This window comes from Homo sapiens, chromosome 6 (genome assembly GCF_000001405.40).
Source record: "Homo sapiens chromosome 6, GRCh38.p14 Primary Assembly".
Classification (NCBI taxonomy): domain Eukaryota; kingdom Metazoa; phylum Chordata; class Mammalia; order Primates; family Hominidae; genus Homo; species Homo sapiens.
This window is the reverse complement of record NC_000006.12, coordinates 63,584,104-63,600,276: the sequence shown is the minus strand read 5'-3', so window position 1 is coordinate 63,600,276 and position 16,173 is coordinate 63,584,104. Positions and strand designations below refer to the sequence as shown.

The following is a 16,173-nucleotide window of genomic DNA, read 5'->3' as shown; positions in this document are numbered from 1 at the left end:
ATAAATGATAATGTGCTGTCTTCAAAATACTAGACTACGTCTCTGAATTTTTTATCCACTGTATAGTTGAAGAACAAGTGTGATTAGTTTTGAGGTATTGCATATCATATAGTCCTAGGAATTACTTCTATATAGTATTATTATCATTCTTCAAATCTTGGAATTACTACCTTTAAAGGAAGAATAGAAAGCAGGATTTCCAAGGAGGAAGGATTAAAAATCAATTGGAAAATAACCAAATCAAACGTTAAAAAAAAAATTAAAACATTCATTTAACTAAAATTAGTGCAATAAATAACTGGGTAAATTTCCAAGAGTATTTGTCTAATAAAATCCATTATTACTCTTGTTTGTAAATCAAAAAACCCCAGTTTAGGGAACTAGTTTGGGCAAAAAATGGGGATTTGTTGGCTCATTTAAACAAACCCTGGCTGAGCACGGTGGCTCACGCCTGTAATCCCAGCACTTTGGGAGGCCGAGGAGGGCAGATCACCAGAGGTCGGGAGTTCAAGACTAGCTTGACCAACATGGTGAAACCCTGTCTCTACTAAAAATACAAAAATTAGCTGAGCGTTGTGGCATGTGCCTGTAATCCCAGCTACTCAGGAGGCTGAGACAGGATAATTGCTTGAACCCGGGAGGCGGAGGTGGCAGTGAGCCGAGATGTCACCATTGTACTCCAGCCTGGGCAACAGAGTGAGACACTGTCTCAAAAACCAAACCAAATAAAACCAAAAAACCCTATTAAGATCAGCAGTACAGTTAGCATCAAAGGTATCTGGAACCAGGAACTCAAACGTATTGCAGTCTTTCTCCCTTGTACCGTCTCTCCCCGCTTTTTTCTCTCTTTCCCCGTTTTTTGGTTTGCTTCTCTCTACTTTTTAACCTCAACACATTTAAAAGTAGAAGTTTCCTGTTTTTAATTCCTACTTCAGTCTGTTTTTCCTATCTATTGAATGTTTTAATTCCCATCAATCTTTATTTTTAACATCAATCTGCTTCTTCAAATTTTAATTTTTTAAATCCTTCTTAGCCTTTGAATTTTTGTCCCTAACCTTTACTCTTTGTCGATAGTGTGTGCTTATTACCAATTTATCTCTGTAAGAGGGAAGTACCAGAACTTAAAAAGAAGCATGGGCCTACAAATGTAAAGAAATTGATTTGCATTTATAAATAATGGAGACGGCAAGGTTCTGAGAAGTACTCAGCTGGTATTATCTCAAACTTGACTTTATTGATGATTTTTAACCACGAAATTTAGACTTTCCATAAGGATTATAACTTGCTTGTTTATCCCATTTCTTGGCTAAGGATGGGAACTACATTTCCCAGAATCCTCTTCCCTATATGGTTCTAGGTTAGAATTGAACAAAAGAGGAATGTGTATGAGATTTGAAAAGTGAATGAAACTGAAGCGACTGTGCTCAAAAGGTCATTGCTGTGAAACCGGGCGACAGGTAGAGACAGATGCTGCGAGTCCCAGCTTGTCCTGCTGTTCTCCATTCTGTGTCTTGCCTCTCTTGCCACCTGCTGGTTCGGCTGATCAATAACAGCCCCTGACCCAGGGTGTAGGCGATAGCTACACAAAGACGAACCTTTCCCCAGAGATGGCAATTTCGAGACCCTCCATGAATACGCTCTTTGCAGTCCCACTTTGGCAACTGGTCACGCTTGATTTCCTGGATTTCTCGGCCAGCTGCAGTTTGTTACTCACATCAGTGCTTCAGTGGACTCTTCAGCCTATTTCTCTGATTCTCTGACTCTCCCTTCCAGACCTTCACTTTTGCAACTCTTTTCATATTCGTGTAAGTCCTAATTCCTATAGTAAATTAGTTATTCTCATTATCATTACAGTGTCTCTTGGAACTCTTCGATCTTCGTGCTCGGCTGTCTTTATTGCTTCAGGTGTCTTCCCTGATAGTTGCAAATGGCCACCACAACCGAGCGTTCCCTACTCACCTGACGTTGCTCCAAGCAGCAAGCAAGCGCACGGGTACTTACAAGTCTTTCTCCATACAATCTTCTCTTGTTTCAGGAAAGAATGTTGTTTTTACCAGAAGCCTCTAACAGAATTCCCCTCTAAGTCTCCTAGGTCAGATCAGGCATCTTCCCCTGGTCACTGATAAAGGAGCTAAATTGCCATGATTGGCTCAGACTTGTGGTCCTGTCCTTGGCTGCACAACAGGGAACATTTTAAAACGTATTTGCACCCGCACCCAACTTGCAACGATTCTGATCGAATTGTTTTGGGGTGGTGCTGTGGCTCAATATTTGTAAAATGCTTTCGCAGAGATTATAATGTGCAGCCAGGGTTGAGAACCACTGCTTGGATCAAACATGATTCATTCTCTTAATATTTCACAGTGCCTGAGCAAATCAGTGTTCTGTATAAGGAAGAAGGTAGAAATGCTGAGGGATTGGCAATCAAGATTTATTCATCCAAATTATCTCATTCAAGCATGACCGATGGAATAGATGGAAATATGACTAAATTTCCCACTTGATTTTCATCATCTAACATCACTAAGAGTTACCAGAGTTTAAACAAGTTATTTGACTAAATCTAGGAATAATAATACAACAGCTATTCTCTATTCCTTAGTTACTGGAAGTAAAGCCATTCTGAATGAGCTACTAAACCACGTGGCACAGAGCTCAAGAAATAACTATTCCTTTGTGGGGCACCTAATGAATTAGCCTTATTTAATTACTTATATAATTAATTGCATGATTAATATAATTAATTATATAATTAATTGCATGATTAATATAATTAATTATATAATTAATTGCATGATTAATATAATTAATTATGGGGGTGGGAACATGGAGAGATGGTCAAAGGGTACAAAGTTTCAGTTAGAAAACATGTTTTTGAGATATATCGCACAGCATGGTGACTATAGTTAATAATGTATCTTTCAAAATTGCTAACAGGGCAAATTTTAAATATACCACAAAAAATGGTAAGTATGTGAGGTGATGGATTTAATTAGCTTAATTTAATCATTTTACAATACGTAGATATATCAAAACATCACATTGTACCCCACAAATATATATAATTGTCAATTAAAAACAATTAAAATCTTTAAAAAAATCCCTGTAGTTCTGAATTTGAGTTGGAAGTATCAGTATGATATTGTAACATTATTTTTTTTTTGTATTTTCATTATAATTAATTTTTTTTTTTTTTGTGAGAGAGGGTCTCACTTTGTCACCCAGGCTGGAGTGCAGTGGCAAGGATCTCAGCTCACTGCAACCACCCCCTCCTGTGTTCAAGCGATTCTCAAGGCTCAGCTCTCTGAGTAGCTGGGATTACAGTTGCACATCACCATGCTCAGCTAATTTTTGTATTTTTAGTAGAGATGGGGTTTTATCATGTTGGCCAGGCTGGTCTCGAACTCCTGACCTCAAGTGATCTGCCTGCCTTGACCTCCCAAATTGTTGGGATTACAGGCATGAGCCACAGCACCCAGTCTCAGTATAGTTTATTTTATACTACAGTTTAATTATCTTTATAGTGCACTTATTTTTTTCCACTTATTTTTTGAGACTGGATCTCCCTCTATCGCCCAGCCTGGAGTACAGTGTTGCAATCTTGGCTCACTGCAACTTCTGCCTCCCAGGCTCAAGCTGTCCTCCCACTTTAGCCTCCATAATAGCTGGGACTATAGGCACAGACCACCATGCCCATCTAAGTTTTGTATTTTTTGTAGAGAGGGGTTTTGCCATGTTGCCCAGGCTGGTCTTGAACTCCTGGTCTCAAGCCATCTGCCTACATCAGCCTCCCAAAGTGCTGGGATTACGGGAGTGAGCCACCATGCCTGGCCAGTATAATGCACTTACTTCTTAAACTCTGACTTTCTTTCTGCCACTTTTGCTTATAATTACATAATTTTTTGATATAATATTATAATATTTACCCTTAGGAGAGATCAGAATCATACATCACTCCTCACAGAAATTGAGAGACTTTTTTCCTGTTAAACAGCATGTTTTAGTGATTTCTCTATTGCCATGGTAAGGCAAGCCAGGTTAAATCAGAGGAGAATGTTTAAGGGAATGTTCCTGAAAATTGTCTTATTTCTTATCTTCACTTTTGTGCATGGATACAGAATTTGTGTCTATTTCATGAATTTCAGATTAACTTGTATAGAAAAGTCATTATGATGTTCTCTAAAATGCAAATGTGTTAGATTAATTTACAAACTATTTGAAAAGTTAGGCATTTCCTTCATTCTCCTTTCATTTAAAATTATTGCAAAAGCATAGAAATATTCAGATCATGTGGAGTATGTACATCCAAAATAGATAATTTAAAAAATTATCTTGATTCTGCCATTGGAATTTTTAAAACAACTTTACTGAGGTATAATTCACATACTGTATGGTTCGTCCATTTACAGTGTACAACTCAATGTCTCCCACAATATTCACAAAGTTGTGTAACCACCACCACAATCAATATTAGAATATTTTCATCACCCCGAAAAGAAATTCTGCATCTCTTAGCCATCACGGCCGCCCTCTTCCATGTTCCTTCACTTTCACCATTCCTAGGCAAACACCATCTACTTTTTGTGTCCATAGATTTGTCTGTTCTGGACATTTCATATAGATAAAGTCATACAAAATGTAGTTTTCTTTTTTAAAATTGTATTTTATTGGCCGAGCGAGGTGGCTCATGCCTGTAATCCCAGAACTTTGGGAGGCCGAGGCAGGTGGATCACCTGAGGTCAGGAGTTCAAGACCAGCCTGACCAACATGGCGAAATCCTGCCTCTACTAAAAAAACAAAAACATTAGGCAGGCGTGGTGGTGCATGCCTGTAATCCCAGCTACTCGGTAGGCTGAAGCAGAGAATTGCTTGAACCCGGGAGGCTGAAGTTGCAGTGAGCCAAGATCACGCCATTGCACTCCAGCCTCGGCAACAAGAGCAAAACTCTGTCTCAAAAAAAAAAATTGTATTTTAGATTCAGAGGATATGGTGCATGCTTGCTATGTGGGTATATTGGTGGATATTGGGCTTCTAGTTTACCCATTACCCAAATAGTGAACATTGTACCCAAAAGGTAATTTTTCGGCCCTTGCTCCCTTCCCACCCTCCCCTCTTCTGGAGTCCTCAGTGTCTATAATTTTCATCTTTATGTCCATATGTACCCATTGTTTAACTCCTACTTATATGTGAGAACATGTAGTGTTTGGTTTTCTGTTTCTGAGTTAGTTCACTTATGATAATGACCTCCAGCTCCACCCACATTGCTGCAAAGGATATGATTTCATTCTTTTTTGTGGTTATGCTTCTTTTTTAAAAGTATTTTTTTTACCTTTGTCCACTGAAAAGACCTGGAGATAATGACCAACCCAGTAAAAATAACATGTATTACGCAGACTGTGTTATAAATACCATTTCCAAATAAATGGAATTGATGCTTCTTGGAGGAATGACTGATTCTAGATATGGACCAGAATAAGTATATGATGAGGCTAAATCATCATGTCATAATAAAAAGCAAAGAAATGATCAATTCTACTGGGATCATATCAAAAACACATGGTGCCAACTTGAAGAAGCTGCCACTGTTCAAAGACAGGATGATTTGACCACTAATATGAATAATGGATTAATCTATTGCAATAGATTAAAGTGCAACAAATATGTTTAAAGCCATAAATTCATAATGATGCTTTAAAAAACCCTACTGATCATCTTCAGGGCACAGAAGGAAACCAACTCATTATTTTGAAATCTGATAAAGAACACATATCATACATTTATTCTGCCTTTCTTGTATGCATATAGATAATGAGGGGAAGCCAGGTGTGGTGGCTCACGCCTGTAATCCCAGCATTTTGGGAGGCTGAGGCGGGTGGATCACCTGAGGTCAGGAGTTCGAGACCAGCCTGACCAATATGATGAAACCCCCACTAAAAATACAAAATTAGCTGGGCGTGGTGATGGGCACCTGTAATCCCAGCTACTCAGGAGGCTGAGACAGGAAAATCACTTGAACCCGGGAGGCAGAGGTTGCAGTGAGCTGAGATCGCACCAATGCACTCCAACCTGGGCAACAAGAGCAAAACTCCAACTCGGAAAAAAAAAATTCCCAAAAAGGAGCTATCTAACACTATGTGCCTCCTAATAAAAGTGCCACCTACAATGCAATATTATCAAGCAGACAAAAAACTCTTAATCTGAACAAGTCTCTGTCATTACCAATTTACAGAAAATACAAGAGAGAGGAGCATGTTCAATAGCACCATTGAACTGTCAGAATCCATTTGAGAAAAAAGTTTTTAAAAATATATACATAAAAAAATCCACCCTGTGAATGCAGTCAGCAAAATCTAGAATATAGGATATCTACAGGACAAACAACCCAATTTTTTCAACAAATAAATTGCAAAAAAAAATTGAGAAAGAACCTATAAAAGAAATATACCAACCAGTTGCAATGTATGGAAATTATTTGAATCCTAAATTGAATAAACTTAAAAAAAATGAGATAAAGAAACTTGAGCAGTGATTAGATACATTGGATACTTGATTATATTAAGCAGTTATTGTTCATTTCTAAGTGTGATAATATGATGGTATGTTTAGAAAAAAGAAATTATTTTTTAGAAATCCACAATGAAATATATTCAGATGAAATGATATTGCTTCTGGGGTTTGCTTCAAATTATCTAGTATGGTGGGGGGTGTTGTATTAGGTATCTATTGCTGCATAACAAATTACTCCTACATTTTGCAACTTAAAACAACAAACATTTATCTCAAAGTTTCTGTACATCAGATATCCAGGCCTGGAGCCGTGGCTCATGCCTGTAATCCCAACACTTTGGGAGGCTGAGGCGGGCAGATCACTTGAGTTCAGGAGTTTGAGACCAACCTGGCCAACATGGTGAAACCCTGTCTCTGCTAAAAGTACAAAAATTATTTGCGGAGCATGGTGGCGTGCGCCTGGAATTAACTGTTTGAACTCGGGGCGGAGGTGGCAGTGAGCTGAGATCGCACCACTGCGCTCTATCCTGGGCCATAGAGCGAGACCCTGCCTCAAAAAAAAAAAAAAAGTTTCTGTGGGTGAGGAATCCAGAAGCAGCTTAGTTGCATGTTTCTGGCTGAAGGTTGCTGCAATTATCTGAAGTCTAGAGGGTCTGCTTCCAAGTTTACTCGGTGTTTGGCTGAGCTCATGCCTCACTGGCTGAAGCTAGAAATCTCATTTTCTTTCCACATGGGCCTTTCCATAGGGTGCTTAGTTAACAGCAAGATGTGGCAGCTAGCTTCCCGAAAAATGAAAGCCTAAGATAGAAGCTTCAGTCTTTTATAACCTAATCTCAGAAAAGACACACCATCGCTTCTGCCATATTCTGATGGTCACACAGACTAACTCTGATACAACATGGAAAAGGGACCACTGATGGGTATAAATACAATGAGGCAAGGACCGTTAGGCGCCATCTTAGGAACTAGCTACCACATTGACCCAATGTTTTATGGACTTAGGTCAAGCCTTCATCCTTCCCCTGACCATAAACCCAAACCTGACTGGTGGACCATAGTAGTATTTCTAGACTTTGGTTTCATTTTTCAAATAGAAATTGTTGGTAAATTTTAGATCTTCTTCTACAAGGAACAGCCTGATTTATATATGCAGCCAGGCAAGCAACTTAATGCCAATATTTATACTTGGAAGTTTATCCTGTCAAGTTTTTACTTTTCGAGCTGCATTTCTGTGACGGGTTTGAATATTCAGATGCACCAACGAGCACTATCAAACCTGGCTGTATTTATTTTTATACATAGCATATTTTAACTAGCATAACTACAAGTATTATTTAATTAATGTCTAAATATTTGCTTTGTTTTTCTTTCCTTTTTTTCTTTTTTTGAGATGGAGTTTCACTCTTGTTGCCCCAGGCTGTAGTGCAATGGTGAGGCCTTGGCTCACTGCAACCTCTGCCTGTTGGGTTCAAGTGATTCTCCTGCCTCAGCCTCCCAAGTAGCTGGAATTACAGGTGCCTGCCACCATGCCCAGCTAATTTTTGTATTTTTAGTAGAGACAGGGTTTCACCATATTGGCCAGGCTGTTCTCAAACTCCTGACCCTCAGCTGATCCACCCTCCTCGGCCTCCCAAAGTGGTGGGATTACAGGCATGAGCCACTATGCCTGGCCAATATTCGCTTTCTTTAAATCTGTATCTTAATAGCATCCAGCTGATAGCTAGCTACCCATGAAAATTATTTGAATATACTTTTGCAGCAGGGGCATTTTAATGTTTCTTTTGCAATCCAGAACCTCTAAGGAGAAGTTGTTTTGGTTTAGATTACTTGTTTTTATTATACTATAGCCAGTAGTTCATGTTTAAATTTCGACCTGCTAGTCTAAATTCCACGAAGGCAATGACTGGGTTTGTCCTCACCACTTTGTCTTCGTTGCCTGATACATAGGATGTAATATTCATGCAATGAGTGTCTATGGAATTAATGCATGATTTCTGGATTCTAGCAAATTGAAAAACTGAATAGCTCCCTCAAGACTGAAAATTTAAGATCCTAGCATACATGATAAAAATTAAGTCATAGATGTAAAATACTAACTAGTAAAACAGAAAAGAACAAACATTTACAGAGCTGTTTTTTTAGCATTCTGCCCGATTTTTTCTTTTCTTTTTTTTTCTTTTTTTTTTTTTGAGATGGAGTCTCGCTCTGAAGTGCAGTGGCATGATCTCAGCTCACTGAAACCTCTGCCTGCCGGGTTCAAGCAATTTTCCTGCCTCAGCCTCCGGAGTAGCTAGGACTACAGGCACGTGCCACCACGCCTGGTTATTATTATTATTATTTTTTGTATTTTTAGTAGAGGCGGAGTTTTACCATGTTAGCCAGGATGGCCTCGATCTCCTGACCTCGTGATCTGCCTGCCTCAGCTTCCCAAAGTGCTGGGATTACAGGCGTGAGCCATCGTGCCCGGTAACTCTCTGATTTTTTTTTTTTTTTTTTTTTTTTTTGAGATGGAGTCTTGCTCTGTCTCACCCAGGCTGGAGTACAGTGGCATGATCTTGGCTCACTGCAGCCTCCGCCTCCCAGGTTCAAGTGATTCTCCTGCCTCAGCCTCCTGAGTAGCTGGGACTACAGGCATGCACTACCACACCCGGCCAATTTGTGTATTCTTAGTAGAGACAGGGTTTCACCATGTTGGCCAGGCTGGTCTCGAACTTCTGACCTCAGGTGATCCACCTGTCTCAGCCTCCCAAAGTGCTGGGGTTACAGGCATGAGCCACTGCACCCGGCCAACTGTCTGTTTTTCTTATGATTGCATTCAAGTTAGGGGAAATACCTCAGTAGAGATTTTTCTGAAACAGTTTCCTTGCAAAGGAAACAGATATTTAGATACAGTGTGCTGAAACTGGGGGCAAGCCTGGTTGCAGATTTTATCATGTTACAGATTTTGCATTATTATGATAATTAAAGAAACCTGCTGTTGAGTTAGTTCTCTCAGGCTGGATTCTTCATTGACAAGAAATGGAAGTTACTGGTGAAGTTCTGTGGCATCATCTTATCAACACTATTTTTTGGCCTCTAGTGTGGGCAGGTCTCTAATAAACAGGTAACTGAATAAAAGAATTATAATGAATCACACCTACCCAAGTCCCATTTGATCTAGTTGAACTCTGTTGCTTATTCCTTCAATCTAGGGGCTTTTAGCTGTATATTCATTGTTTTGAGTTCCTATGTTAATGAAGTTCTAGTGCACGTCCACTTGTAAAATGGTCTTTATTTTAGCACTAGTAGTGTCCAGTATATCCAAACCTATTTATTGGTCTTCTTGCCAATGAATGTAGCCAATAACACAATGTAAACAAGTGAAACTGGAATTTAAGTTGCTGAATTTTATGAAGTTGTGAAAGTTGTCAGAATCAAAATGCAATCATTAACGTCAGAACAACAAAAACAGCAACAAAACTCTAGAGCCAGGAAAGGCCATGAAGAGAGGGTTCTCATGCTTTTATGCTTGATAACAAAGACTATCACAAAGACTACAAAAACCAACCTTGCACAAAGGCCATTGCAACCTTACACAACAAATTCTTTTGCAAGGACATCTGCCCAGCAACTGACTATCCAATCCTGGACTGACGTCACCCTTGTTATTGATCTTTGCAGCCAAAGATAATTATTTGAAAACAATTATGTCATCCTCATTCTTTTCTTAAAAACCTTTGTGTTCCTTTACCTCCCTGAATATGCACATAGTTTACTCTGGCATGAATAATCTCACTGCAATGCCCTATTCCCAAATAAGTACCTTTTCTTTTAGAGAGCCTCTCTCTGTTGTTTAGACTGACAAAGTCAATGAAAGTGATGTTTGAGAACTGCTCAAATAATAACAAAAGTTATTGTCAGATAAGGATCTAGCAGAGTTAAGTCAATTAAAAATGGAAACAAATGAAAATTTATATGGATGCTGTATTAGATGCTTCAAGACAAAATTATCTAAATAATAACTGGCTAAGGCTGGCCTTTGGAAAAATTAAAGTCCTGAAATATTTTTGCAAAAAATGACCAAGTTTGTGACTATATTCTGCAAGTCAGAAGTGAAATGGACATTATATTGTCACTCCCCCAAAAATCAACACTTGACAGCCGGGTGCAGCGGCTCATGCCTGTAACTAAAGAAGTTCCCAAGGGCAATTCTTTTTATCATTTCACTATAAAATCTTTATTTTTTTTTTCATGATTGGAAAGTAATGGCCAGGCACGGTGGCTGCGTAAATGTCATCTCTTTTTTTTTGAGACGGAGTCTTGCTCTGTCTCCCAGGCTGGAGTGCAGTGGTGTGATCTTGGCTCACTGCAACCTCCGCCTCCCATGTTCACGGCATTCTCCTGCCTCAGCCTCCTGAGTAGCTGGGACTAGGGCGCCCACCACCACGCCTGGCTAATTTTTTGTATTTTTAGTAGAGACGGAGGTTTCACGGTGTTAGCCAGGATGGTCTCCATCTCCTGACCTCGTGATCCACCGGCCTCGGCCTCCCAAAGTGCTGGGATTACAGGCATGAGCCACCGCTGCTGGCCAAATGTCATCTTTTGAGAGTGTCTGTTCATGTACCTTGCCCACCTTTTGAAGGGGTTGTGTTTTTTCTTGTAAATGTGTTTAAGTTCCTTGTAGATTCTGGATATTAGACCTTTGTCAGACGGATAGACTGCAAAAATTTCCTCCCATTCTGTAGGTTGTTTGTTCACTCTGATGATAGTTTCTTTTGCTGTGCAGAAACTCTTTAAAAGTAATCCCAGCAGTTTGGGAGGCCAACGCGGGAGGATCACCTGAGATCAGGAGTTCAAGACCAGCATGGCCAACATGGGGAAACCTCATTTCTACTAAAAAAAAAAAAACATAAAAATTAGTTGGCGTGGTGGCATATGCCTGTAGTCCCAGCTACTCAGGAGGCTGAGGCAGGAGAGTTGCTTGAACCCAGGAGGCAGAGGTTGCAGTGAGCCATGATCACAACCACTGCACTTCGGCCTAGGTGACAGAGCGAGACTCCATCTCAAAAAAATATAAAATAAAATAAAATAAAATAAAATAAAATAAAATAAAATAAAATAATTAAATTGAAATTGAATGAATGAGCTATTTCATATTACTGTAGATACCTCCATTATATTATCACTTCCAAAAATTGTGTGTATTGCCACCTCTAAAAAAACAGAACATGTGTGTATATGTATGTGTCAGTTTGGATATCTTTAAAAAATGAATAATGTCAACTTTTCCCAGTGTGTTCTGTAGAACACTAATCCCAAGCAGTCATCTGAAAAAAAAGGCATCTGCAGTGGTACAGGATGTTTTCTGTTTCCCACACGCTATTCTCTGTTCTGCTCTGTCCCCAAAAGGCTGATCTGTATAGATGACAGGTTCATTTGCCCTCTGCCTGGGGAGAGAGGGGAAAAGAGAGACTAGTAGGACATCAAAGGGGATGCGGAAATGAGGCTGAATATTTCTCGGTCTTTTATCGGTCTCCACCTGGATTGCTGTTAGTTGGCTGTATCTTCCAACTAAGGTCACAGCTTCTTTGAGGAAGTCCTATCCATTTAGCTCTTCTCTTCAGTCCCAGTAACTGGTCCCCCTCTCTTGCCTCTTTAGGCTGGGAGGTGGCAACTGTATCACAACATTCCTGTTGGCTTCCCTTTATTAAATGCTTCTTAGTTGCCGGGCGCGGTGGCTCACACCTATAATCCCAGCATTTTGGGAGGCCGAGGCGGGTGGATCACCTGAGGTCAGGAGTTTGAGCAAGCCTGACCAAAATGGTGAAACCCCGTCTCTACTAAAAAACAAAATTTGCTGGGTGTGGTGGCACATGCCTGTAATCCCAGCGACCCGGGAGGCTGAGGCAGGAGAATCACTTAAACCCAGGAGGCAGAGGTTGCAGTGAGCTGAGATAGTGCCACTGCACTCCAGCCTGATGACAGAGCGAGACTCCATCTCAATAAATAAATAAATAAATAAATAAATAAATAAATAAATAAATGCTTTTTTCCTTTTTATAAAGTTCTGGGATACATGTGCCGAATGTGCAGGTTTGTTACATAGGTAAACGTGCCATGGTGGTTTGCTGCCTATTAACTCATCACCTAGATATTAAGCCCAGCATGCATTAGCTATTTATCCTGATACACTCCTTCCCCCCATCCCCCAACAGGCCCCAGGGTGTGCTGTTCCCCTCCCTGTGTCCACGTGCTCTCATTGTTTAGTTCCCACCCACTTATGAGAAGATGCAGTGTTTGGTTTTCTGTTCTTGTGTTAGTTTGCTGAGAATAATGGCTTCCAGCTTCATCCATGTCCCTACAAAGGACATGAGCTTATTCCTTTTTATGGCTGCATAGTATCCCATGGTGTATATGTACCACATTTTCTTTATCCAGTCTATCGTTGATGGGCATTTGGGTTGGTACCATGTCTTTGCCATTGTGAATAGTGCTGCAATGAACATATGCATGCATATATCTTTGTAATAGAATGATTTCTGTTCCTTTGGGTATACACCCAGTAATGAGATTGCTGGGTCAAATGGTATTTCTGGTTCTAGGTCTTTGAGGAATTGCCACACTGTCTTCCACAATGAACTAATTTACATTCCCACCAACAGTGTAAAAGTGTTCCTATTTCTCCACAGCTTTGCCAGCAGCTGTTGTTTCTTGACTTTTTAATAATTGTCATTCTGACTGGTGTGAGATGGTATCTCTTTGTGGTTTTGATTTGCATTTCTCTAATGACAAGTGATGATGAGCACTTTTTCATGTTTGTCAGCTGCATAAATGTCATCTTTTGAGAGTGTCCATTCATGTCCCTTGCCCACTTTTTGATGGGGTTGTGTTTTTTCTTGTAAATGTGTTTAAGTTCCTTGTAGATTCTGGATATTAGACCTTTGTCAGATGGATAGACTGCAAAAATTTCCTCCCATTCTGTAGGTTCTTTGTTCACTCTGATGATAGTTTCTTTTGCTGTGAAGAAACTCTTTAATTAGATTCCATTTGTCAATGTTTGCTTTTGTTACAATCGCTTTTGACATTTTCATTATGAAATATTTGCCTGTGCCTATGTCCTGAATAGTATTGCCTATATTTTCTTCTGGGGTTCTTATAGTTTTGGGTTTTACACTTAAGTTTTTAATCCACCTTGACTTAAGTTTTGAAAAAGGTGTAAGGAAGGGGTCTAGTTTCAATTTTCTGCATATGGCTAGCCAGTTTTCCCAATGCCATTTATTAAATAGGGAATCCTTTCCCCACTACTTTTGCCAGGTTTGTCAAAGATCAGAGGGTTGTAGATGTGCGGTCTTATTTCTGAGATGTCTATTCTGTTCCATTAGTCTGTGTGTCTGTTTTTGTACCAGTACCATGCTGTTTTGGTAGCCTTGTAGTATAGTTTGAAGTCAGGTAGTGTGATGCCTCCAGCTTTCTTCATTTTGCTTAGGGTTGTCTTGGCTTTAGAAGCTCTTGTTTTTGGTTCCATATGAATTTTAAAGTAGTTTTTTCTATTTCTATGAAGAATATCAGTGGCAGTTTAATGAGAATAGCATTGAATCTATAAATTACTTGGGGCAGTATGGCCATTTTCACGATATTGATTCTTCCTATCCACGAGGATGGAATGTTTTCCCATTTGCTTGTGTCCTCTGATTTCTTTGAGCAGTGGTTTGTAGTTCTCCTTGAAGAAGTCCTTCACATCCCTTGTTAGTTGTTTTCCTAGTTATTTTATTCTCTTTGTAGCAGTTGTGAATGGGAGATCACTCATGATTTGGCTCTCAGCTTGTCTATTGTTACTGTATGGGAATGCTTGTGCTTTTTGCACATTGACTTTGTATCCTGAGACTTTGCTGAAGTTGCTTGTCAGCTTAAGAAACTTTTGGGCTGAGATGATGGGGTTTTCTAGATATAGGATCATGTCATCTGCAAAGAGAGACAGTTTGATTTGCTCTCTTCCTATTTGATTACCCTTTATTTCTTTCTCTTGCCTCATTGCCCTGGCCAGAACTTCCAATGCTATGTTGAATAGGAGTGGTGAGAGAGGCCATCCTTGTCTTGTGCCGGTTTTCAAAGGGAATGGTTCTGGTTTTTGCCCATTCGGTATGATATTGGCTAGGAGTAGGCATAAATGGCTCTTACTATTTTGAGGTCTGTTCCATTAATACCTAGTTTATTGAGAGTTTTTAATATGATGGGATATTGAATTTTATCAAAGGCCTTTTCTGCATCTATTGAGATAATCATGTGGTTTTTGTCTTTAGTTCTCTTTATGTGATGCATTATAATACATTTATTGATTTGCATATGTTAAACCAGCCTTGTGTCCCAGGGATAAAGCCAACTAGATCGTGGAGGATAAACTTTTTTTTTTTTGAGGATAAGCTTTTTGATGTGCTGCTGGATTCAGTTTGCCAGTATTTTACTGAGGATTTTTACATCAATGTTCGTCAGGTATATTGGCCTGAAATTCTTTTTTTCTTGTTTCTCTATTAAATGTTTAATTATCCACTGTGAGTGAACAATCTGTCTTCTTCCGGGACACTGATTGATACAATGGATAAATACAATATTGTTCTCTTGGAAAGATTAAAAATTCACACCAGCATATTAAAGGCTCTAATATTGCAGTAAATAATGTCTAAGTTAGCCCAGTGTTTGCCAAACTTATTCATGAGACCATTTCTCTAATATATCTAAGAATATCCCTTGAAAATATTTGATTATAAAATTTCTTGGCTTAAAAACCACAAAACTGGCCGGGCACGGTGGCTCACGCCTGTAATCCCAGCACTTTGGGAGGCCAAGGCGGGTGGATCACGAGGTCAGGAAATGAGACCACCCTGGCTAACACATTGAAACCCCATCTCTATTAAAAACAAACAAACAAACAAACAAAAACCCCACAAAACCAAACTTGGCCGAGCGCAGTGGCTCACTCCTGTAATTGTAGCGCTTTGGGAGGCCAAGGCAGGCAGATCACTTGAGCTCAGGAATTTGAGACCAGCCTGGGCAACATGGCGTAACCCCTTTTCTACTACAAATACAAAAGCTAGCCAGGTGTGGCGGTGCACACCTGTAGTCCCCAGCTACTCAGGAGGCTGAGGTAGGAGTATCGCTTGAACCCAGGTGGTTGAAGCTGCAGTGAGCCAAGATTGTACCACTGCACTCCAGCCTGGGTGACAAGTGAGATCCTGTCTCAAAAAAGAAAAAAAGTAAATGCAGTACTAATCTAAACACACACACACACACATACACAAAACCAAACTTAATGGTTTATATTCTTGATGACTATTGTCAATCCTTGTAAGCAGCTAATCGTTTTGTGCTGTGTAGGAAATACCGATTTCCTTATGGTCAATTGAGGTGTATAAGCTTAAAGCTATTAGTCATAGCATTGACTTGTCCCAAGTGGCTGTACTTTTTATATTTAGTTTTTATGATTCCAAATGTCTCGTTATCAGGCTTACAAGTGTATCTTAATTGCTACCCATGTGCTTCTCAACTTTAGTGCCTGAATTTCATGACATCTATTTTGGCTGCCTGGAAACTTTAACCCCTTTATGTTGGGCATTTCAGTTATGTAAAACGCTGCTGTGGATGTACTCTTTTAAACCCTGAGGTGGAGGTGATTAATTCTGTGTAGTTCTG

General features: G+C 39.6%; 3 annotated features.

Moving 5' to 3' along the window:
- Positions 1,536-1,595: an enhancer, noted in NCBI's record as "active region_24721". NCBI's record gives its function as "activates an Ori minimal core promoter by ATAC-STARR-seq in GM12878 lymphoblastoid cells {active_cell/tissue: GM12878}" and the evidence as "EXISTENCE:reporter gene assay evidence [ECO:0000049][PMID:35858748]".
- Positions 1,676-1,835: an enhancer, noted in NCBI's record as "active region_24720". NCBI's record gives its function as "activates an Ori minimal core promoter by ATAC-STARR-seq in GM12878 lymphoblastoid cells {active_cell/tissue: GM12878}" and the evidence as "EXISTENCE:reporter gene assay evidence [ECO:0000049][PMID:35858748]".
- Positions 10,039-10,333: an enhancer, noted in NCBI's record as "tiled region #1413; HepG2 Activating DNase unmatched - State 5:Enh". NCBI's record gives its function as "activates a minimal TATA promoter and a strong SV40 promoter by Sharpr-MPRA in HepG2 cells {active_cell/tissue: HepG2}" and the evidence as "EXISTENCE:reporter gene assay evidence [ECO:0000049][PMID:27701403]".